We start from the raw sequence: 24,006 nt of genomic DNA, 5'->3' as shown, positions 1-24,006 counted from the left end.
GTGTGACTTGGGACAAGCACTTTCCCTCTGGGTCCCCTTTCCAACCTGTCCATGAGAGTGAACTACACCATTTATGATTCCCTGATTCAGATGTAAGTTCACCCTAGCTTGCTTTGCACCTAGTTTTATTTTACCTCAAAAAACGCCAAGGATCAAGTTTGACCTGAGAACAGTGAGGACAAGTGTGGTTCTGGTCACTGGCCCAGAGGAGAAGCCTGCACACCCCCCTTCCTGTTCCTGGGTGGCAGTGGGGAGAGCATGTGGAGTTGAGCCTGTCCCCAGGGCCATGGGCCCACTTGTTGGGCAGCCGTGTCCCTTGGCAGTGCCTTTGCAGCAGGCTCCGAGCACGTGCTGGGAAGCCATGGGAGCTGACCACCCAGCACCCCACAGAGAGCCTCAGAAAGGCACAGCACCCTCTGCCAGCTGCATGGCCTTTCAGCTCAGGTTTCCTTTGAAAATGACTTTAAAGGACTTGCCAGCTCGAGGCCTCAACTCACCCTGCTCTTTGAAAAGGGAGAAAATGATCCCTCTGCTCCCATAGAAACTTGGCAGGAGAACTTACAAAACAGACAGCTTCAGGAATGACAATTCACAGGCCTAAGGGAAGCTGGCCCCAGGGTCCCTTTGCTCCCAGAGTACCTCCAAGTTTGTTTGCATTTCATTACTGTTTAATAGAGAGATGGAGGGGCGAGGGCAGATAGTGTGGGTGGCCATTTAAACAAAAGGGAAGATCAAAGAGTGAGTAACTGCAGCCAATTGACAATCAATAATAACTAAAAAGAAAAGTCTCTAAGCAGATAAGCCAGGGCAAAGGGAATATAAAATGTTTACTAAAAAGCAAGATGTAAATGCAGCTTTTCACCCATACATGGAACATGCGTGGTGTTCTACATTGTGGGATTTTTAGAGGATAGGTTTCTGAGGATCAGTGTGATGAGGATGTGTAAGGGGTAATCCCAGAGAAGCGGGGTGGTTAGAATTATGCAGAGCTATTTAGTAGTTGGAAGGGAAGGGGTGGTTAGAATTATGCAGAGCTATTTAGTAGTTGGAAGGGATGGGGTGGTAAGATCACCTAGCTCAAATCTTGCACCTGACCCATGAAAGGATTGAGGCAGGAGGGCTGAAGGCACTTTCCTACTGCCGCCCAGAGCCTGGGGTGGAGAGTGGAGAACAGGCTCCTGCTCTTTACACAACCCTAAGGGAAGGAAAACCAGAGGCAAATGTTCCATTTTAATTTTTAATATTTATTTATTTATTTATTTATTATTTTATTTTTCTTAGAGATGGAGTCTTGCTCTGTCACTCAGGCTGGGGTGCGGCAATGGCACCATCATAGCTCACTTGAACTCCTGAGCTCAAGCAATCCTCTTGCCTCAGCCTCCAGAGTAGCTGGGACTACAGGGGCCACCACCATGCCTGGTTACAAATGTTCCGTTTTAGACATGGGGAAATGGAAGGAGGAACTAGTCCAAGGTCCCGCAGCTAAAGGTGTCCGGGTAGGCTGAGTTCGCACAGTGGTTGTCATTAGAACTTTAATCAGTTCAATTCAATTGTTAGGCCTCAGGCTTCTTGGAGAAATGAGCTATTCCCTTTGAAATCTGGGTTTCCATTTTCTCTCTCTGTCTCACTCATAGTAATAATTAATAATAAGGCTGGTCACGGTGGCTCACCCCTGTAATCCCAGCACTTTGGGAGGCCGAGGCAGATGGATGACTTGAGGTCAGGAGTTCGAGACCAGCCTGGCCAACATGGCGAAACCCCGTCTCTACTAAAAATACAAAAATTAGTCAGGCGTGGTAGCGCATGCCTGTAATCCCAGCTACTAGGGAGGCTGAGGCAGGAGAATTGCTTGAACCCAGGGGGTGGAGGTTACAATGAGCCAAGATCGTGCCACTGCACTCTAGCCTGGGCAACAGAGTGAGACTCTGTTTCAAAAAAAAAATTAATAATAATAATAAGTTGTCCTGTGTTCTATCAGAGACATGCATTGGTAAGCACTAAGAGAATTAGAATGAGGAATAGGAGCAGAGAAAAGCTGACCCCTGAAGAGTAGCTGGGCCACATTAACGGCAAAGCTCCAGAATGAGGTCTGCAGAACTAGGGTGACCTTTCAGGATCTAGTTCTATGAAGCTTATAATTGTGTGGGGGTTTCTAGTCTTAGATTTCTAGGATAATCCATCCCTCTTATAACCACTGTATAATGGGGTCACTGCCTTCATTTCTACACCACTGCCGTTACTTGGACTGGCCTGTATGAGTCTATTTCCTGGAACCAAAGGAGCATAATTTACACACAGATAGCCATGCTTCTGGGGAGTCTGCCATTAGAAGGACCCTTACGCTTCACAGATAGCCATGCTTCTGGGGAGTCTGCCATTAGAAGGACCCTTACGCTTCACAGATAGCCACGCTTCTGGGGAGTTTGCCATTAGAAGGACCCTTACACTTCTTTGACTAGGCCCAAGCTTCTCTATAGTGGAGGCCAAGGCATGCTGTAATCCCTCCAAGGTAAGAAACAAAATGTTATTTACCCAAAATACTGTACCCAGTTGGAAAGTGAATGTTCCTCCCATCCCAGAGCAGAGATAGGAAGCTTCAAAACAGTACACAGAAGCCCAGCCCTACCATGGGAAGGCTGCCCATTACATGAAATATAGCATCCAGGGCCTGCCTCCAAAGAAGAGAAAGCTTCAGCACTCACTAAGAAAGTGGCCTTCTCTCATTCCCTATGACTCATGGGAGAAAAAAAGAAAAAAGATTAACACAAAAAAGTGGCCTTCTAGAAAGACAGATGCCCAGGCAGGAGGACTTTGGAGTCTAGGAAGGAGACCTAGTGGGGTTTACAGCCCCTGGGTACTACATTGCTCCCAAACGTTTGGGGTCTAGCCCCTTATTAAATGAGGCTGACTCATTTAACCCCAGATGACAGCTGCTCAACATATCTAAAAGATGAGTTTCCTGGGTCTTTCTTTCCCTTTAGGACCCCAAGAAGGCAGGTTGGTTATGTAAATACATATGGAGTTGGGATCACAGAATATTGTAACTGGAGAGAGCTTAGTGATAATAATTCTTCCATAGGCAAGGAAACCAGGCCTGAAAAGAAAGGTGACATGCTTAAGGTCACACCAAGAATTCTTATCAAACATCACCTGACTCCCAGTGAGGTTTGTAACGTGGTTCCAGCCCTCAAAGGTTCGTAGTCAAAATCACAAAACAAAACATGGACATATATGGAAGGAAAATTACAAGGAAACACCAAAATATATAAAACTATGGCTAATAAATTATGTTCCTCAATGAAAACATATAGGCACAGGGAGGGAAACATCACACACTGGGGCCTGTCGGGAGCTGGGGGCTAGGGGAGGGATAGCATTAGGAGAAATACCTAATGTAGATGATAGGTTGGTGGGTGCAGCAAACCACCATGGCACATGTATACCCATATAACAAAGCTGCTCATTCTGCATATGTATCCCAGAACTTAAAGTATACTAAAAAACTGATGTTCCTATGGATTCTGCATATCTTGAGAAGGGGCATGTTCAGAATGGCAAATTGTCCATTCACGGCAGTACAAGGTGGACAGCCATGTTGAGCTGGTGGCCCATGGAGAGGCTCTCTCAGGGTTCTCGTGTGTCTCCCATTTGTTCTGTGGAACTTCAGTGCCTCCTTCCATCTGGACAGAGCTGTCCTTTGATGTCACCAGTAGGAGTCACCTCTAGCGGTGTAATTAGTTTGCCAAGGCTGCTGAAACAAAGTACCACCAGCTGAAATGGCTTAAACCATAGAATGTTATTGCCTCATGGTTCTGAAGGCTGGAAGTCCGAGATCAAGGTGTTGGCACTGTTGGTTTCTTTTGAGGGCTGTAAGGAAGAATCTGTTCCAGCCTTCTCTCCTACCTTCTGGTCATTTCCTGGCAATCTGGCACTCTTTGGCTGGTAGAAGCATCACCTCAATCTTTTCATCTTCACATGGTGTTTCTGTGTTTGTGTCTCTGTATCCAAAGTTCTTCCCTTTTTATGAGGTCATCACTTGTGTTAGATTAAGGCCCACTCTAATGATCTCAACTTAACTAATTATATCTGCAACGACCCTATTTCCAAATAAGGTCACATTCTAAGGTACTAGAAGTTAGGACTTCAACGTATGAATTTTGTGGGGACATGATACAATTCAACAGAGGCTGTTCATGGGAAGAAAGATGAAGAAAAATGCTCTCAGAAAAGGCACCACCCTAGCTTCTCGTTTTCACTTTCTTCTCGCTGTCAAAGACTCAGGGAATTGAGATTTGGAGAGCCTTCTCATTGCCAGTAGGCTTTACACTCACGGTCTCAATTACCCTCACGACAACTCACTGAAGTGGGTTTGTCTTCCCTCTTTACAGATGAGGTGAATGGGGAACAAGAAGGTCATGGCACTCAGCTAAGATCAGGCAATACGTCTCTTTTTTCTTCTCTAGCTAGTTTTGTCTTTTATGTCACTGGTGGGTCTCTGTCCAAAAGAGCACGACAGGACAAAATAATTGTGCTCTGTGAACGACACACTTTGATCATGCAGATGGGAGAAAGCTGTAGATCTAGGTAGGTCTTTAAGAAATAGGAATCACCAAGAACTTACATACCAGGCCATCATGGGCTTGACAAAAACCTCAACAAGAACTGGAGACTATTATAGTTAATCATGTCTTGAATTATCATGGAGTATTTGAGCTTACCCCACTGATGGTCTCATCCAGCAGTTCTGTACCATAGGAAGATTTCAGACATTCTGCTTCTTGCTCTCCAGATGATTCTGACTTAGAACCAGTGGTGAGAATTCTGATCGAATCCAACTCTATCATAAAGGAAAGGAAGCCAAGTGACATTAAGCAAAGAAATTCTATAAGGACTAGGACACAGCTCCCCCAAGGCCTATGCCAGTATTAGTTCCTCGGAAATAATACTACCATGATTTCCTATTTCCAGAAACCTCAGTGCTGCCACTAAATGGTTACCTTCTTCATATACATTCATGTATCTGATTACTTCTTTGACAGAACCCTGGCGGGGGGAACCTTATATCAATGAACAGGAATTATAAAGAGGAAGAACTCAGCTTGATAGAATAAAGGATTTCCTGTGTCTAAAGATGGAACGGGCTTTGGGTGAGCATCTGAACTCATCACTGAAGGTGATTTAAGCTTAAGATGTGTGGTGAGTTGGCAGCAATCTTGGCTTGCAGGGAGGGTTGGATTAAATGACTCTAAGGTCCCTTTCAAACTTGAGATTACACAAGATCCTACCCCATTTAGAAACTGATTTTAATCATGGCGAGGGATTCAGAGTAAGTGTTTCCTCCTAGGAGTCTCAGGACAGCAGGGCCATGGAAGTCTGGGGGCCATTTGCGGAGGGTTGTAACCTGTAACCTGTAACCTGTAACCTGAATTGCCCTGCACTCCAGGGACCAAGTTGTGTCTTTCTTTGTTTTTTGTTTGTTTGTGTTTTTTTTTTCCTAACGTACAGAGGCTTACAGTTTCATACATATCATTTTCTAATAGTGAGGCTATAATCTATCTCCCATCATTTCTACCTGGTGCACCCTATTCTTCAGTCACATGGAGAAGCTCACCATTTCCCAAACCTGTGAGGCTTCAGTGTCTTTGCAAACACCAAGACCCCTGCCTAGCAAGTCTCTTTTCTCCATTTACCCTCCCTTCAGTCCCTCTCTTCTTCCAGCCTGTGAATTTCTTCAGCCTGAACAACTGTGAGCGTCTGTACAGGTTTGTTGAGTGACGGAGCAAAGGAGTGAGTGCATGATTAAGGGTTCCTACTGGTCCCTGCTTTCTCTGAGGCTGTTCTACTGGTGCATTCTAGCAAATAGCCACAAGGTGGCAGGGTAGACCAAGCAGTGAAGGCTGTAGGTGCCACTTTTTCTGGCTCCAGGGAAGCAGGAAGGTATAAATGGGGCCAGTGCTATTTTTTGAGTTGGTCTCCTATGGCTTTGTACCTATTCTCTTTCTAAATCCTCTTCGTCATCTCAGCAGAGCCATTTAACAGAACTGACTGAGGGGCTCTGGCCCCCAAATCTTTCTTTCGGAGATCTACTTGAATGTGTGTAAAGTTCCACTCTGAATCATTCCTTTGGGGATCAGGAATTTCCAGCTCTTCTCGAAAAGGTAAGGGGTTATATCTCAATTCTTGGGCAAAAGAGGCCAATTCCTAGTAGAACTGTGGAGAGAGGCAGGGGTTTATGATATGACACTAATCTAGTGTCTAGTATAACAAACTTTACAAATCACAAAAGCCTTTCATCTCCAAGGGTTCACTTAATCCTCACCACAATCTCGCCAGTTAAGGAAGCAAGATATCCCATTTGGCAAGTGACAAAACTGAGGTTCGGAGAGGAGAGCCTAAGAACACCTGGCTAGCGGGTGAGGGCCGAGAACAGACCATTTGCCTTCTGACTTGCTGTCAGACACTCAGCTAGCACAGGCAGTAACTTTGTGTGTCAGTGGTTGAATTAACAAAAAGGTACACCTATCTTTGTGAGGCAGGAGAATAGGGTCTGGAGACAGAGAACCTAAGGCCAATTTGCACTGGTTTCCTAGAACTGAATAAAAAGGAAAACCCCATCTCTCCACACCCAAGTAACAAAAGGATCCGAGGCTACTCCCTTTGCAACTTGCTCCCCCCACCCCTCCTGCTTTTCTGCCTTGCAAATTAAAAATGAAAGTACCTCTGATTGGTCCCCTCCTGCAACCAATCAGACTGATTGTAGGCCTAGTCTTCACTTGCATAGGGTGTAACTTTGTAACTTCATGTTAGCCTCTGATTGGTCACCTTCCATGTCCAATCAGATTGGTTGTGAGCCACTACTTCATTTACATAGGGTGTGAACCAAGTAATCAATGGGAAGCCTCTAGAGGGTATCTAAAGCCCAGAAGATTCTGTAACCAGCGTTCTTGGGGTGCTTGCTCAAGCCCACTGCCAGTCTGTGGAGTATACTTTCGTTTCAATAAATCTATGCTCTCTTTGCTTTATTCTTTCATAGCTTTGTTTGTGCATTTTGTCCAATTCTTTGTTCAAAATGCCAAGAACCTGGACACCTTCCACTGGTAACATTTGTGTACCCTTGAGCACAGCTTTTTCAACTCACAACAGTGTAAGGAGAAAATTTAGGCTTTTAGGGTTGGTATTCTCTTAGGGTCAAAATTGTAAATTCTGGGAGTAGACAGAGAGGAAGCCACTGGGACATGCCATGGCGCCCACCACCTGCATCACAGTGTAGGCCCGTGTCCCTGGACGGCTGGTGCCTAGGCTGTGGGCTGGGTACATCTCAATCTCCTCCCTGCTCCCCTTCAGTGCTGAGGGCCTGAGGAGGTGCCCCTTAAGCACTGGTCTCCTGATTACACTCAATGACTCTGGGTGGTTTTGGGTGGGAGACAGCATCAAATCCCTGCTGTCCTGGGCCCTGCCACAGTGAGACCCAGAGCAAACAGCTTTCGCCTTGATTGAAGACCAGGCTCTGCTGTTGACCAGCTACTGGCCTTGGTCAGGAAACTTACCGTCCCTCAGCCCCAGCTTCTGATTGCAAATGCAAAGACTGTATAGGATAATCTTCAGGACCCCTTTTGGAAACAGTGACAAGGACTTTTCTGGTCAAAGTAACTGAGTGATGGAGGTAGGAGATTGCTCTCACTAGGGGTGTTCTGGGAATATAAACCATTCGTTGAGACCGCAGAGTTCTAATTCCTCGGGTCCAGCCCTTTCTCATCTATTGTTCCCAAGTTTTCCTGCATCCAGGAGACGAACATGCATGGACTCAGGACTTAGAGTTTTCTTATTCATGCCTCCTGATATTTTCACAATTCAAAAGGGGCTAACAAAAAGACACTAGTTATCAGAAATTCTAAGCCATTTTTCAGCTCACAAGGGGCTCAAAGTTCCTCTACATGTAACAATATGGAACTTTGCTGAGACACACTTTGTCTTTTTAAAAATAGTATCTATTGTTCTGAATTTAATTTCAAAGTTAAAATATGTTAAATATACATAAAAACTTGAAAAACAGCTATGACAAAACATAATAAATAACATTTATTAGACATTCACCATATACTAGGAGCATTTAAAAGTTTTTTAAATTTTTAAATAATTATGGACTCACAAAAAGTTACAAAAAATAGTGCAGAGAGGTCCTGTGTACCCTTCTGCAAGTTTCCCTCAATGGTAAGGTCTTACCTAACGATAGCACAATATCCAAGCCAGGAAGTTGACTCAGTGGGTATAATCCACAGACCTTATTCAGACTTACATCGTTTTACATGCACTCGTGTGTATGTGTATGTGCGTATGTGTGTGTGTGTGTTTCTATGCAATTTTGTTGTATGTGTAGATTCACATGGCCACCACCACAACCAAGATATACAGCAGTTCCATCATCTCGAAGACCATTTGTGCTACCCTTTTATCGTCATCCTGTTTCCCTCCCTTCATCTCTAACCTCTGGCAACCGCTGATCTGTTCTCCACCTCTATAATTTTGTCTTTTTGAGAATGTTCTATAAATGGAATATATAAGTAGAAAAATAATATTAAATAACATTTACTGAGCACTCACTATGTGCCAAGAACTGTTTTTGGTTCTGTGCAAGTATAAGCTTATTTGATCCTCTTCGGAACCCACTGTAATCATCTCTTTTATTATTCTTACTTTACAGATGTGGAAACTGAGATTATTACCCAATTTTATGCAGCAAGTCACTGGCAGAGCTGAGAGGAAAATCAAGATCTGGCTCTAGACTCTGAAGTTGTAATTATCATATTATCTCTCTAAATTGAGTCAGCATAAATGTTTAAGAATTAAATACAGAAAAGCATAATTAAGAAAGATCAACAGTAGCCTTAGAAAACTTCAATGGATTGGTGCCATACAGACCACATTCTCTAAGAACAGTACAATTAAGTTAGAAATCAACAATAAAAAGGGAACTGGAAAAATTCCACTTGTTTATATATTTTTAAAAAATTCCTTCAAAACAACTCATGGGTCAAACAAGGAAAGCTGAGAGTTTACTTCTAACCGGAGAGCAGTGGGTTCCCTAATGGCATAGTGCATGGTGCAGGTGTTGATTTCTTCAAGGCTGAAAACAAATAAAGGTAAGACTATCTCTGCCCCAGACTGAATCCATGAGGGCAGGGACCATGTTTCAGTCATGCCGACAGCCTCAGAGCCTCACCTGACAAGGTGTTAATAAATGCTTACTGAATGCATTTAAAAATAGACACCCCTGGACACCACCCATATTCCCTTAGATCCTAAAGCGCCAACAAAGCTGGAAGACTCTTTGAGCCATTGGAATCAAAAGCACACTGAAACCAAGACAGAGATGCATAGAAACAGCAGAAGGGGTGGCTATGCATATTAGGATCAGTGAGAGCACTTTGCTTTACATGGTGCCTTTAGACATCCAAAATCTCAGCAGAGAATGGGGCTTCAGAGGTCAGCACCTTTGAAATTTCTAATTCGGCACCTAGAAAATTGATGCTCAGGGTACTAAACTGATTTACCTAGGGTTATTACAAGTTTGAGATAAGAATCTAGGTCTCCTGACTCCCCATAAAGAGCTTTGTGCCAACAGAGTGGACCCTTGACATCGCCAGAGAATTTTTGCCTACACTTTCAGGAATCCTCAAGTCGAAAACCCAGAAATGTTTGCAAAGGTTTTCAGGCTTTTACTGAAATCCCATTTAGAGAGAATTATGGTGTATTAATCCGGGTTGTCCAGAGAAATGGAATTGATAAGTACTATATGTGGGGTGTGTATATGTGTTTGTGTGTGTGTATGTGTATTTGTATGGTTCTCCATATATTTAGGTAATATATACACACATATACACATATGTATATCATATACACACACATATATATATATATATGCACATATACACACACCTAAATATATGGAGAACCATACATATCATATGGTTCCCAGGTTCTTCAGAGAAACAGAACCAATAAGATAGATATTTATGTGTGTGTGCTTGTATAGGATATACACATACATATAATATATGATATATATATATATATATATATATGGATATTTAGGAAGACATTTATTATGAGGAATTCGCTCATGTGATTGCAGAGGTTGAAAAGTCTCACAGTCTTGCCAACTACAAGCTGAAGACTCAGGAAAGCCAGTGGTACAGTTTGAAGGCCTGAGAGCCAGAGAGCTGATCTTGTAGATTCCAGCCTGAGTCTCAAGGCCTGAGAATCAGGAGTTGAGGGCAGGAGGAGATCAATGTCTCAGCTCAAAAGTCAGGCAGAGAGTGAATTCAACCTTCCTGCATTGTCTTTTTGTTCTATTCAGGCCCTTAATGGATTGGATGATGCCCATCCACGTTGGGAGGGCCATCTGCTTTCCTCAATTCACCAGTTCAAATAGCTGATCTCTTCCAAAAACACCCTCACAGACACATCCAGAAATGGTGTCCAAGCAGATATTTGAGCACCTCTTGGTCAAGCGAAGTTGACATATAAAATTATTCATCATACATGTGTTGCCAATGCATGTCCTCTCACAGACACATCCAGAAATCGTATCCAAGCAGATATTTGAGCACCCCTTGGTCAAGCGAAGTTGACATATGAAATTATTCATCCTACATATGTTGCCAATGCATGTCCTCACATCATGTTAACATTTTTTTCAAATTTTAATGATGTTTCCTCCCTCTTTAGATAAACATTTCACACAGAAACAGTATTTTATTTATTTATTTATTTTGAAACAGAATCTCACACTGTCACCCAGGCTGGAGTGCAATGGTGTGATCTTGGCTCACTGCAACCTCTGCCTCCTGGGTTCACACGATTCTCCTGCTTCAGCTTCCTGAGTAGCTGGGATTACAAGGGCATACCACCATGCCTGGCCAATTTTTTGTATTTTTAGTAGAGATGGGGTTTCACTATGTTGACCAGACTGGTCTGGAAATCCTAACTTCATGATCTGCCCACCTCGGCCTCCAAAAGTGCTGGGATTACAGGCATGCCCGCCAGAGACAGTATTTTAATAAATTCCCAAGGTACTGCCTGTGCAGTGGAACATGCAAGCCACGGTGAGGTGCTGATGCAGGTTTCAGATAGGGGCACTCATGAGCTAATAGAGGCTCACAAACAAGCTCCGAATCTGTGTCTCACAAGCCATTGTGCACCAAACTTGGAAGATGTCAATGCCATATAACTTTTTTTAAACATTAGAGATACTATAAAACACTGCAATGTTTTAAAAAATCAAATACATTCTTTAATCAAATAAATTCTAAATGTTTAACAATAGTAACTTGGAAAAAATGAAGGGCAGGGAGAGTGGGACAAAGAGGATATGGAGCTTTCATTTAATAGTTAATATATTTTTGTATCTTTTGAAATTTTACAATGAGATTATTACTTTAAAAACTGTGCCTAGGTTCTACTCCAGGGAAGACAGAAAAAAAAAAAAAGGAAAAAAAAAACTGGGCCTAGGGAATAGCTTAGTGGACAAATATGCATAGTCAGTAAGCCAGATTGTATGAGTCCAAATCCCAGAACTGTCACTTATTAACTATAGGACCTCCAGTAAATCACTCAACCTTTCTGAGTCCCAGTTTCCTCTTATGTCAAATGGGGAAAATAATTATAGTATCCACCTCATAGGGTTCTTGTGTGTGCTTAAATGAATTAATATATGTAAAGTACTTAGAAAAACTCATAGTGCATAGTGAGGACTTTATCACTATTACCTTTTATTATAATTAAAGTATATTAAATTAAGGTCAGCTCCTGCAACTAGTATTTAAGATGAGGAACTAGTCTGCTATTTCTTTGCCCAGCTTCTGATGCCTCGAGAATCAGCTTGAAGCTTTTGCTATTTCTTGCATCATACAAATTCTCTGGATAGAATGAGTTTGGTGTTGTCCCCTGACCAGCTTCCATCAATGGGTCCCCTTGGACATGGAAACCATTTTGGACTGAATCTTAAGAGTTTCTTCACCCACTCAGACTTCATTTAATTGCCTTTCAGGTCATGACACAGATTAAGTAACTGTTATGGCACCGGCACCAGCAGTTTCTACTTTATCATCACAGAGTTTACTCTTCACTGTAAATTGTTTTCAAACTCCTTCTTTCCCCCTGCTTACCAGCATAAATCCACATTAAGATTTTTCTATCTTCCTATAGCATGAAAAATCTAGGTAGGAGATTTAAGGCAATTTGGTAGATATAGCCCGTGGGTGTCTGTGTTCATTTGTCACATGCTGATGTACTACTGGAGACTTATAAGCATCAATGTATCTATTTCTCGTTCACATGTACCTTCATTAGGGAAAATAGTCCATAGAAGTTTTACGGACAATAAAAACTCATTAAAAATTTAATATTCCAACTCTATTAATAACTTTTCAATATAAAACATTGTAAACTATTTCTCCATCTTCTCATCACACTTAATCCAGTAGGTTTCAATTGGGAGTGTACAAAAGAATACTCAATGGAGTGTTCTCCCTAGAGAACACTTTTGGTTAATGGAGTGAAGGTCCTTTTCACACCTCCTACAGAGGGATCTAGATTTGCAAGGAGCTAAGCAGATTAGAATTCACGGCAAGTGTGTCATGGAAACAGCATTTTTAGACATCAGCCAATTTATGGGGAAAAGGAAGAGAGAGCAATGCGTTTAAATAGCACATTGTTGATATGCAAATAGGATCATGTAGTTCAGGCCTAAAACGATTTAGTAATTTCACGTCCCCTCTAAGGCAAAATCTCAACTTTGCCAGGGTGTTAAAAACTCCATAATCCAGGTCCCATGTATCTTTCAGGCCTCAACTTCCATCACTCTTCTGTGTGATCCAGATGTCCTAAATGATATGGAGTCTCAAGAATGATTCTATGTCATTTCATTTTCTAAGTCTTTGCCCATGCTTTCCCCTCCTTAGGGAAAAGCACCCCTTTAACATTTTTTTTATTTAACTGCCAATTGGTCATCCTGTAAGGGTTTATTCACATACCACTCCTTCTGTGGAAGCCTTATTGACTTCCCTACCTGCTGTGACAATGCATGTTTTCCAAAGACGATCACATTGGTATCTCCCGACTTGCATCTTCTTACAACATAGCTTTGACTTTCCTCCTATCCAAATGTGGGGTCTATGCTCCTTTACCTTGAATCTGGGCAATGGTGAAAGTGTTGCCTTGTGACTTTTGAGGGTAGCTCATAAAAGGAAGCACAGCTTCTGCCTGATTCTCTTGTGACACCAGCCCTTGGAACTCAGCCAGCATCCTGTGAGGAAGCCCAGGCTCCATAGAAAGGCCATGTGTAGATGTTTTGGCCCATAGACCTAGCTGTGGTCCCATCTCACAGGCAGCATCAACCTCCAGACATAGGAATGAATGAGCCTTCATATAATTTTTCCAAGAAGACCTAGTTTGTTGTTGTTATTTTAACTGGAGAATGGTATTAGGAACCCAGATGTGTGTGGTAGGTGTGCTCATTGCTACTGGGGTGGGTCATGTTTAAAGAAATGTTCACTCTGGCCAGGCACAGTGGCTCATGCCTGTAATCCCAGCACTTGGGGAGGCCGACGTGGGTGGATCACGACGTCAGGAGTTCGAGACCAGCCTGGCCAACATGGTGAAACCCCATCTCTACTAAAAATACAAAAATCAGCCAGGTGTGCTGGTGCACGTCTGTGATCCCAGCTACTCAGGAGGCTGAGGCAGGAGAATCGCTTGAACTCAGGAGGCAGAGGCTGCAGTGAGCCGAGATCACGCCATTGCACTCCAACTTGCTTGACGTAGTGAGACTGTCCCAAGAAAAAAAAAGAAAAGAAATATTCACTCTGCGTGAGATGAAGTGAGGCATGCATTGGTTCTTCATGTGCTCCCACTCTATATCCAAATTTAACTATAATTGTTCTGGCTTGTAGTTGTGGCCATTTTCTTGTTTCACTAATCAAGGGATCTTTCTGTTTTAAAATTCTTTTTATTCTGGTCAGTGGGTTTTCTTGTAGAATTCTCTCTTCCCAAGCTTTACTTATATTTACCTTGGGACTTTGCAAGAAATGTAGCTTTTTAACTATAGTGTCTATAAGCATATATCAAGAAAGCTCAAATTTACTGAGAAATATAAAGATCTGCATCTCATATGCTTTGTTTTACATCTCATGTAAAACATCTTCGTTTAACATATTTGTTTTACATCTCATGTAAGATCTGCGTCTCATATGCTTTGTTTTACTATAAAACCTACCTGCCTTATCCTTGGGAGTAAGAAAGCATTTTTATAGTGTGTAGTTATGCTCTTTCCAATTGTTTGACAACTGGGGAAATAAATTGAAGTGTTTCTAGCATATTTAACTTAACTCTAAGCAAAGCCTGATCATTTTGGGCCTGTGACTCCTATTGACTGTGTATCTTCTGGTTCCAATGTCAGAGCTAAGTGGTCTGTTTAAATCTTTACTGGGGGCTTTTAACTGCCTGTTTATGCAATATCTATGTAATGTTTGTCCAATTTTATGCACTTGAACAATTTTATCTTGATTTTTGGATAAGAAAAAGGGTAAAGTCAGTATCCAGCCTTAAGGGTAAATACAATACTAATGAGTGTATTAGTCCTTTCCCTTCTCACTCCCATGTAAATTGAAGTACATAGTCAATTCTGGGAATGTAAAGTCTCCAAGGAAGTTAACTGAGCTAAGTGTTGGGGCCAAACAGCCTTTCTGACTGCTCATCAAGGAATCCCCATCAGTCTTTGGAAGGTGACCTGTTTCCTAAAGATAGATACTCAAGGTAAAATTCGTTCTATTTATCGTGAGAGACTTGCCTCAGGAATGGACTCAGCTTTAATGGGTCCTTTCCTTATGTGAATTGGTGTCTCCTGGAAAGCCCTGGAACTACAAATGTTCTACTGGGTAAATGTGTGTTTAAAAGGAAAGATATATATTTTTAAAAGTCTGCCCAGGATATTGACCCCAGCCTTGTCATTTTTAGAATGGATGCTTTAAAAGCCAGCACAATCTATCCCATGCTCCCTTTTCACCCTGCCTTGATGGCTAGGAGTGTCCCAGAGATGAGTCATGGCTATTTTTGTGTGTGTTGAGCCTCAGCTCAACAGAAACTAGCAGGTTCTCTGAGTATAGCTAAGGAACTCTGATGAAGGCCCTCAGCCTCTTGGACAGAAGCAGCATAGGCTGTACCTGCTGAAAGTGTCCCCAGACCCTCTATATTCTTCCTTCCTAACTCAACCCCTATCTTTTTTTTTTCTCCCTTGCATGGAGCACACCCTATTTCTATCTGTCTTTTTATGTATTTACATCCCATAATAGATTCGTCACCAAATCTCTATCTAGGATAATAAGACCCGGAAAAAAGGATAAGTAGATATAGTCACTCTTAATACAGATTCCAGAGCCTTTGGGGTGCTGGGAAGCATGGTGCACAGAATTTGGGCCCTTGGACACCAGCAGAAACAGAATGTCACTTGCCTGCAGTTGCTCTGGTTGCTGCCAATTAATAAAAGGGCAGCGTAAAATCTTCCTGGGAAGATTCCACTATGTGCCACTATTAGAGAGCCATGGACTGCTCTGTGTGGCCTCCCCTGAGATTCAGAGGTCAGCTCCCACCCAAAGAGTGGGAGCTTGGACCATGCTGTCGCTAAGTGCTACATCCTGGGGATGGAGAGGCCTTCCTAATATCTCTTGAAAATACTCCCCAGGGGATCTTGGATTCGCCCTATAGCATCGTCTACGGTTCTTTGAATTGCGGAGACACAGGAGAAGATAGGACACACCTTGCATTTGTCCTGGATCTATTTCCTGGTAAAGAAATATTATAAACCACTAGCTCATTTTACTCAATCTTCTTTTTTTGTTTTTCATTTTTGGCCTCCAGTAGCCTGTGGGACAACATATCCCATCAGTAACAATGGCTGGCAATAGAAGGGATTCTTCCCAGGACTGGAGTAGGTGGAGAGCAAATTTGTCTCCTCAAGAACATGTATTGAAATCTCTGAAGCAGAGGTGTATACAGTTTTCAGAACTCTCCAGGTGATTTTGATGTACACACCTTTTCAACTCTTCATTACTTTGTCATTTTAAGCTCCACACTGGCATTTCTTACATTACTCTAATAAGTAAAATTGAATAATAAATATTTTACAAAGCTCTTCATTAACTTGCATTCCAAATTGAAGGGGAAAAGTGATTCTTTTATCCATCCCCTCCCCCTTGCTGATTTGTTTGCAGAATACAGGTGCTCAGTATTTTATTTTATAAAGAAATAACAATTTCTTTATTTGAAAAAGTATTGCCTAGACAAAATATGTATAATGAAGCTGCCAGAGTGTGATGTGGCCACAGCTGTACACAATATACATTTGTGAGCTCTTAAATCGTGGGTTCTGGAATAAGATAGTGTCATTCGCGGAAAATTGAAGTAGTAATTGTGCTCACTGATTGTATGAAAAGTGAAAACAGTGCTGTTACACAGAAAGATGAATTCTATTGGTCTCTGCTTAGAAGCTGCTATGCTAAATTAAACCTGATACTAGGCCTAAGGGGATTGCATTATTTGAGGAAAAAAGAAAATACAGGTAAACCCTGACAATTCTCATCCTCTTTCTGTTTTTCCTTTATTGCCATTTGTTCTGGGAACAAGGGTATACTATTTCTCAGAGGTTCTTTCCTGGCACGAGGGTCTAGGCCAGGCCATAAGCTCATCTCAGCTTCGTTCAGTTCCTGGCCATTCATGGATCCCTCTGTCTCACCTGGTCTGGTAACTGGCTTCTAAGGGAATCCCCAGTGAGGTTTGAGCTACCCAGTCCTGAGAGCCTGGGCCAGTAATTTTCCATTTCCAGGCCTCAGTTGTTTTAATTCAATGTCAATAAATTTTGGTTAAGAAATGAAGAGTTCAAGAAATAAACCAGATTTTTAAAAATAAAAGAGCTCTTCTAGAGCTGTCAGTCAATGGTTCAAAGACAATTGTGTCCTTTCTGAGGTCTTTAGCACAAAGCCGCTAGAGTAACACTTTTCATTTCAAGAGAGAATCCAGTGACATTGTCCCTGACTTCACACTTCCTGAAAACCACTTGGCAACTCAACACCAAGAGCTTCCGGTTCTTAGCAACCTGTTTCACTTCTTGAAGCTCTTTACTGTTGGAACTCTGCGTGTCTAGGGATCCAGACTTCCGGGTTAAAGAATCGTAAGATGATTACAGTTGGAAGTTGGACCAAAGCTAGGGTAAGCAGCCATATGCCTGGTCTTTTCCATGCTCAAGGCAGCCTCCCTTCAGGTAACCGTGTCTTCACTTGGATTACCAAATTTGAAGTCAGATTCCCCTCTGGTTTCTAAAGAATTTGAATTGGGCATCACAGAGCTACGGATGCTCTCTTGCTCCAGCTCAGCAGTAATGGAGGCAGCAGGAGCCTGCAGCACAGAACAAACTCATTACCCCAGCAGCCACCTTAGCCTGGCTTGGGACCAGGAACTGAATATGGGCTCTAACAGTTCTATGACGCTATGAATCTGAAATGTTATTACTGTGCTTTGCATGGCATATGAAATTACATTCTAGCTCACCAACTGGTCTAAGATTGCCCTGGGCAAAGAGATGTTACTTCTCACTCAATTCCCTGTTAGGAGCACAATAGTACTAAAATAAATAAACAAATGAGCTCGGTTTCAGAAGGCCTAGATCTGAATCTTGGATGAGCCACTTAGGGGTTGCATAAACTTCAGTTTCCTGATCTGATCTGCTTTGGCCAGCACACAGGTCAAGCGGTTTGTGCTAGGCACATGGTAAGTGATGGTCACAGCATATCAGGGGGTGTGGAAGCAGCAGGCTCTGCCTTTCCCTGTCCCTCATTTCTCCTTGACTTCCTAGGGTGTCGTACTTACCATAGCACATGATGTGGAGAATGCTAGAAGAGCAGTTGGGTGAAGCAGGGCCACCAAATAGTCCTTGCCTCCTGGAGACCTCTGGAAATCCAGATGAGTGTGGTCTGAGGTTGGGCCTCCCACTGTGCTTGCTCCTCTCAGGCCTACCCAGCGCTGCCTCTGAAGCCTAACTCAGGGCCCTGAAACTCCCCCTTGGGGCTTCCCTTCTCCCCAGCCCTCACTCTTGGTGCCCTGCCTGGCTACCATGGTAACAGGTTCCAGGGTAACAGAGGAGGGAGCTGGGTCCTGTTTACTCCCAGTCCTGCCGATGAGGATTCTGACCGTAGACACTGAATTGTCCCGTACCTATCCGTGCTCTTTCTGTGTTCTCACCAGGGCTGAGCTCGAACTGCCACCTCTGCCAGCAGGACCATGTGTACCAGCTTGACCACTTGTGAGTGGAAGAAAGTCTTCTATGAGAAGATGGAGGTGGCAAAGCCAGCGGACAGCTGGGAGCTCATCATAGACCCCAACCTCAAGCCCAGTGAGCTGGCCCCTGGCTGGAAGCAGTACCTGGAGCAGCACGCCTCAGGCAGGTGAGAGGTTCAGTGGGGAGGGACCTTGCAGACAGCCCCTGGGTCACAGCTGTGGGGTACTTTCCAAGGAGAGACAGAGCCCAGTCGCGGGCTTATTCTGGTGTCAGCTCAGATGGGGAAAAAGACAAAGACAGCCGGCTGGGTCAGAGAGTTCTTGCTTTTAATCCTAGCAATACCACTAACTCCCTGGGTGACCCTGAGAAAGTTATGTTCCATCTTTGGGTCTTAGTTGTCCACATTAAATGAAGAGCTGTAATATCATCTATGTCCCTGCAATCTCTGACATTTAGAGTGAGTTGGAACTGAAGGAAGGAGGCCATGAGGTCCATTGGGGAAAGTTTTAATCTAGGAGTTGGGGGAATGCAGGGGGTACAGCTATGCTCTGTTCCTAGATATGTTTAGTGAATTAATCCAATTTGATCTGAATACATAAACATTTATTGACCACCTGCTGTGTGCTACGAACTGGCTCTATATAGCTAAGTAGCCTTGTAAACTTGGCAAGTCTGTTTCCCTTTCTGGCTCTCAGTTTTTATATTTACAAAATGAGGGGGTTGGTCTTAGATAATAGATCCAATCCACTCTAGCTCTATTATCTATGCACCTGTGATAAAAAGATTTAGCTTTGAGCAAAACTTTCTTTAGGAACTTAGAGCCCAGGGTCCCACTCTTTATAGGAGCTGCACATCTACCACAGGGCAAAGAGTCCTTGAGGCCAAGGGGACGAGGCCGTCTAAAGTCCACATGCCTTTCCTCCTTTTAGATCATGATTGGGGACTGGGACTACAGAAATTCCTCCCCAGACTACCTCAAGTCCATCTGTAGTGTCTGTGCAGGCCTTTTTCCTGTGTCCTTGGATTCAAGAGAGGCCAGTAAGTGGCTGTGCTCTGGAGATGTAGCCAGAACATGGACACAAAGGCTGGGTTGTTCACGTGTATGTGTGTGAAGCTTCTCATGGTGCAGAATGGTGCTGAGGGTGGGAACAGAGGAGGCAAGATGTGGGTAGGGAGCTTACGTTTGTACTCTTGTCCCAAGACCTGGAATTATTGGAGTAAACCTGCCTTGTGAAAAAAAGACAGAAAACCAGAGGTTGGCTGATTCATGTCAGTTCCATCAACTCAAGAAGCATCTATTGGGTACCTGTTATGTGCTGAGCACTGGCTCTGCCTCTAACTAGCTGTGTGTACATGGATGCCTCTCTTACTATCTGGGCTTCTGTCTCTTCTCAGTGAAATAAAGGGCTGACTAGATGCTTCTTAAGCTCGCCTGCCCCCAGATCTGATATTTTTGAATTTAAGATGTGAGGCCTAACTTGATGTAGGTGAAGCAATTCTGGGTTGGTTTGATGTAAAAAGGTGTAGAAGGAGACTGAAAACATAAAGCATTTGAACTGCCTGGTGGAAGAGGTGCAGATGCCTGGAAACTTGAGTGCCCAGGATCCAGAGTTTCGGGGCTGAGCTCAGCAAGCTCATGTCTCCTCTTGCTTCAGAGGTCAGCTCCTCTTACTCCTGGCTGGTGACTTGTGGCTCCCAGCTGGCCTCAGGAAGAGCTGAAGAACTGCTGCCCATGAGCTTATTTGTGCACAGGCTCACTCTGTCTCTAAACAGGCAGATGCCCTGCAGCTCTCACCCAGCACTGGGGGCGGGGAACCTCTCCTGGTTCAGTACCAGCTAGGTTCCTCTGACCTGCCAACCCCACCTTGGGCCATTCTGGGTACTGTTCTATGCTCATGTGATCAGGCTTTCAGGGGTCAGAGCCAGGCTTGGCCTCACCTCTATCCCATAGCCTGGGTTGAGTGGTGCTTGGCATATGGGAGGTGTTGAATGGTGTCTGTTGGATTGAATTGAGTTCCTAATCAGAAGTCCTTCAAGGCCATCATACAATGGATCCAGAAAGGGCCAGTGATGAGGACAGGGACAGCCCAGTGGACATCTGACTGCCTGTGAAGCCTCTATAACAGAGGCCTGGAAGAGGCTCATCTCAGGGAAGGAAAGAACTGCCCTGGAGGTCAGGAGTGCTGCATCACTGAAAGTGTGCAGGCAGTGGTGGGGGCGGAGTGAGTGGGGCTTGCCTAGATGAGCCCCAGGCTACCACCCACAACACTTCCTGAGACTGGGACTCTAGAAAGCCCAGGTTACGCCAAGTGGCCTCTGTGCATGTAAGAGAGAGAGAGAAAATATATGTGTGTGTGTGTGTGTGTGTGTGTGTGTGTGTGTGTGTGTGTGTGTGTGTGTGGAGTGGCAATGGGAATGAATACCCTCTTTTCCAGTCCCCACTGCAGGGCTAGAGTGGGATCTAGAGAAGACTTGTCAAGAGACTGGGGAGTGTTCTTTGTGAAGATGTAGTAACTAAACTTGGTAGTTCCTCCTAAAAGCCAGTTGATCCTACCCATCTACCGGTCTGTCCATCCCATCATTCTCAGTGGTTTACTGAGGACCTACAGTGTGCCAGGGTCTGTGCTTGGCACAGTTAGAGGCGTCTCTTCTCCCCAAAGTAAGCAAGATGCATGAGTTAGATGGTGTATGTCATCCTTCTTATTAGAGTCGCAGGAGGTCACAGAGGAAGGACCCTTACTGGACGCCAACACACTACATTTCACAAATGAGAAATGAAGCCCAGAGAGGGGGGGATGACCCTGCACAGCGCCCAGGTGCAACCTTGAGTGCATCGGGCTGGGGGGCAGCTGAGACCGCAGGAGGCACGCTCTAGAGCACTGCTGGATGCCAGATGGCTCCGGCACTGGCTCCTGAGGATGCTGCTCGGGTCCCAGGGGTGCTCACCAGGAGGAGGCGAGAGCAGGCCGGCCTTGGAGTGCTAATGAATCCACAGGGCAGTAAACACTGCCTCCATCTCCAAGCACGGGCACACAGGCTTTTTTTTCCCTCTCAGAGCTTCTCAGGGCAGGCTTCTCTGGGATGCCCACCTTCTCCACCCCTCCTTCTCCTCCCGGCAGGTTCCACTGCTCCTGGTGCTGGCACACCTGGCAGTCTGCCCATGTGGTCATCCTCTTCCACATGTTCCTGGACCGCGCCCAGCGGGCGGGCTCGGTGCGCATGCGCGTCTTCAAGCAGCTGTGCTATGAGTGCGGCACGGCGCGGCTGGACGAGTCCAGCATGCTGGAGGAGAACATCGAGGGCCTGGTGGACAACCTCATCACCAGCCTGCGCGAGCAGTGCTACGAGGAGGATGGTGGCCAGTACCGCATCCACGTGGCCAGCCGCCCGGACAGCGGGCCGCATCGTGCAGAGTTCTGTGAGGCCTGCCAGGAGGGCATCGTTCACTGGAAGCCCAGCGAGAAGCTGCTGGAGGAGGAGGTGACCACCTACACCTCTGAAGCCTCCAAGCCGAGGGCCCAGGCGGGATCCGGCTACAACTTCTTGTCTCTTCGCTGGTGCCTCTTCTGGGCCTCTCTCTGCCTGCTCGTTGTTTACCTGCAGTTCTCCTTCCTCAGTCCTGCCTTCTTTTAGTGGAGCTGGTTAAGGGTGGGAGAGGGCACATGGGCTTGAGAGTGGGGAGGACACAGTCTGGACTTGATCCTGCTACAGATTCAACATATGACTGGACAATCCGGTCACCTCTCTGGGCCTCAGTTAATGCATCTGCGGAATGAGAGGATTGCATTAGAAGATAGGCAATGATTCTTTCACTGGATGTGACAATAATTGGGGGAAGGGGAAAAGGGTGTAATAAAGGTTTTAGAGCTTGCCAGGATTGGTGCTAGTACTAGGTCAACAGGAGGGACCTGCTTCCTTTCTCTCCTCCACCTCCATCTCTACCTCTCCTTATGCTTCATTTCCATATATCTTCCCCCATTATGACCCCATTAGGTTCTGTGTTAATCCTGCCTCGTCCTTAAGCTCACCTTCAGCTGCCTCTGCCCATCCTGCCTTGCTTCCTTTTGGAGAGGGCAGTGGCCCCATTCAATGCTTAGGGACAAGGTACCTGGTCCTCTCCTGGAGAGCCTGCTCCTGTCGTTCTGAAACTTAGTTTTTTTACTCTGGTGCTAGGGTCTGCTTGGCTGGAATTGTCTAGACCTGCACTGTCCAATATGTTGGCCACTAGCCATATGTGGATATTTCAATTTAAATTAATTAGAATGGAATAACATTAACAATTCAGTTCCTCAGTCACACCAGCCACATATCAAGTGCACAGTACCCTTATGTGGCCAGTGGCTAACATATTGCAATGTACAGATATAGAACGTCATTACAGAAATTTCTGTTGGTGAACTCCAGTCCAGAACTTGAAATTCCCACTTAAATGTATGTGGACTTATACCACCAAGAGGTGGGTGCAGGTTTAAAGGTGCAGCATGAAGCCTTCTGGGGCAGGTAAAGGTGGTGTGAGGTTTGCTAAAGGTAGATAAACACTGTAAATAGATTATCTCTGTGCTCCTGCCTCTCTTGAGTAGCATCTGCAGTGTTGTCTTACCTTATTTCCTGAGAGGATATGGAAAGTGGGTCTGGGCTGGGTGCGTTGACTCACGCCTGTAATCCCAGCACTTTGGGAGGCTGAGGCAGGCAGATCACGAGGTCAGGAGATAGAGACCATCTTGGCCAACATGGTGAAACCCTGCCTCTACTAAAAATACAAAAATTAGCTGGGCATGATGGCCATCATGGTGAAACACCATCTCTACTAAAAATAGAGAAATTAGCTGTGCGTGGTGGTGCACACCTGTAGTCCCAGCTACCTGGGAGACTGAGGCAGGAGAATTGCTTGAACCTGGGAGGCGGAGATTGTGGTGAGCCAAGATTGTGCCACTGCACTCCAGCCTGGGTGACAGAGCAAGACTCTGTCTTAGCGGCGGGGGTGGGGGAAGAAAGTGGGTCTGGTCAACTGGGTCTGGGAAAGAAAGTAGACCATAGGGATGGGGTGCCAATTGCCAGTTGCTTACAGCCCCTTTGTAGGGTTCATAGACCTTAAATGCCACAGTTGTGTCTTTTTTTTTTTTTTTTTTTTAAGACATGGTCTCGTTCTGTTGCTCAGGCTGGAGTTCAGTAGCGGCATCACAGTTCACTGCAGCTTTGAACTCTCAGGCTCAAGTGATCGCTCACCTCAGCCTCACAAGGGGTGGATCATACACACATTTTTTTTTTTTTTTTTGGTGCAGTGGCAAGATCTCGACTCACTGCAACCTCCACCTCCTGGGTTCAAGTGATTCTCCTGCCTCAGTCTCCAGAGTAGCTGGGACTACAGGTGTGCGCCACCATGCCTGGCTAATTTTTTGTGTTTTTAGTAGAAACAGGGTTTCACCCTGTTGGCCAGGCTGGTCTTGAACTCCTGACCTCAAGCAATTCACCCGCCTTGGCCTCCCAAAGTGCTGGGATTACAGACGTGAGCCACCACCCATAACCCATACACATGTTTTAAAGTGCGTTTATACATTCCTGTGCTCAGCAGAGATGTGGTAGGACACACTAGCTACCCATGATGCAGGGAGATGCTCCTCTTTCATTATGTATGAAAATACATTATGGCAAATTTGATAGCCATCCTAGTTCCTGGC

General features: G+C 44.7%; 1 protein-coding gene and 1 long non-coding RNA gene across 4 annotated transcripts in view, besides 1 other annotated feature; one reads left to right on the top strand and one right to left on the bottom strand.

The window, feature by feature from the left end:
- LOC100131635 (hCG1645011-like) overlaps positions 1-18,093 on the bottom strand; it is a 30,050-nt gene extending 11,957 nt beyond the window's left edge. The window contains exons 1-2 of the long non-coding RNA NR_034062.1: positions 17,920-18,093; positions 4,719-4,837 (exon numbers count right to left, since the gene is read on the bottom strand). This is a non-coding gene — a long non-coding RNA (hCG1645011-like). The remainder of the gene's footprint in view (positions 1-4,718; positions 4,838-17,919) is intronic.
- On the top strand, positions 4,768-22,200 carry RTP2 (receptor transporter protein 2). 3 transcript variants are annotated; one of them, XM_017006302.2, is made up of 5 exons: positions 4,768-5,147; positions 6,024-6,158; positions 8,702-8,790; positions 18,295-18,494; positions 21,448-22,200. In XM_017006302.2, the coding sequence occupies exons 4-5, from the start codon at positions 18,331-18,333 to the stop codon at positions 21,959-21,961; spliced, it is 678 nt and encodes a 225-aa protein (XP_016861791.1). In that variant the 5' UTR covers positions 4,768-5,147; positions 6,024-6,158; positions 8,702-8,790; positions 18,295-18,330; the 3' UTR covers positions 21,962-22,200. The 3 variants fall into 3 exon arrangements, with proteins under 3 accessions (XP_016861791.1, XP_016861790.1, NP_001004312.2); XM_017006301.2 differs by having other exon boundaries at positions 4,768-5,196; NM_001004312.2 differs by lacking the exons at positions 4,768-5,147; positions 6,024-6,158; positions 8,702-8,790 and having other exon boundaries at positions 17,902-18,494.
- Positions 21,805-21,986: a silencer, noted in NCBI's record as "fragment chr3:187416261-187416442 (GRCh37/hg19 assembly coordinates)". NCBI's record gives its function as "represses an EF-1alpha promoter that drives an FKBP-Casp9 reporter gene in an ReSE screen in phorbol 12-myristate 13-acetate-treated (for megakaryocytic differentiation) K562 erythroleukemia cells {active_cell/tissue: K562(+PMA)}" and the evidence as "EXISTENCE:reporter gene assay evidence [ECO:0000049][PMID:32094911]".
- Positions 22,201-24,006: the final 1,806 nt, after the last annotated feature.

Source organism: Homo sapiens, chromosome 3, assembly GCF_000001405.40.
Source record: "Homo sapiens chromosome 3, GRCh38.p14 Primary Assembly".
Taxonomy (NCBI): domain Eukaryota; kingdom Metazoa; phylum Chordata; class Mammalia; order Primates; family Hominidae; genus Homo; species Homo sapiens.
This window is presented reverse-complemented; position numbering and strand designations above follow the sequence as displayed.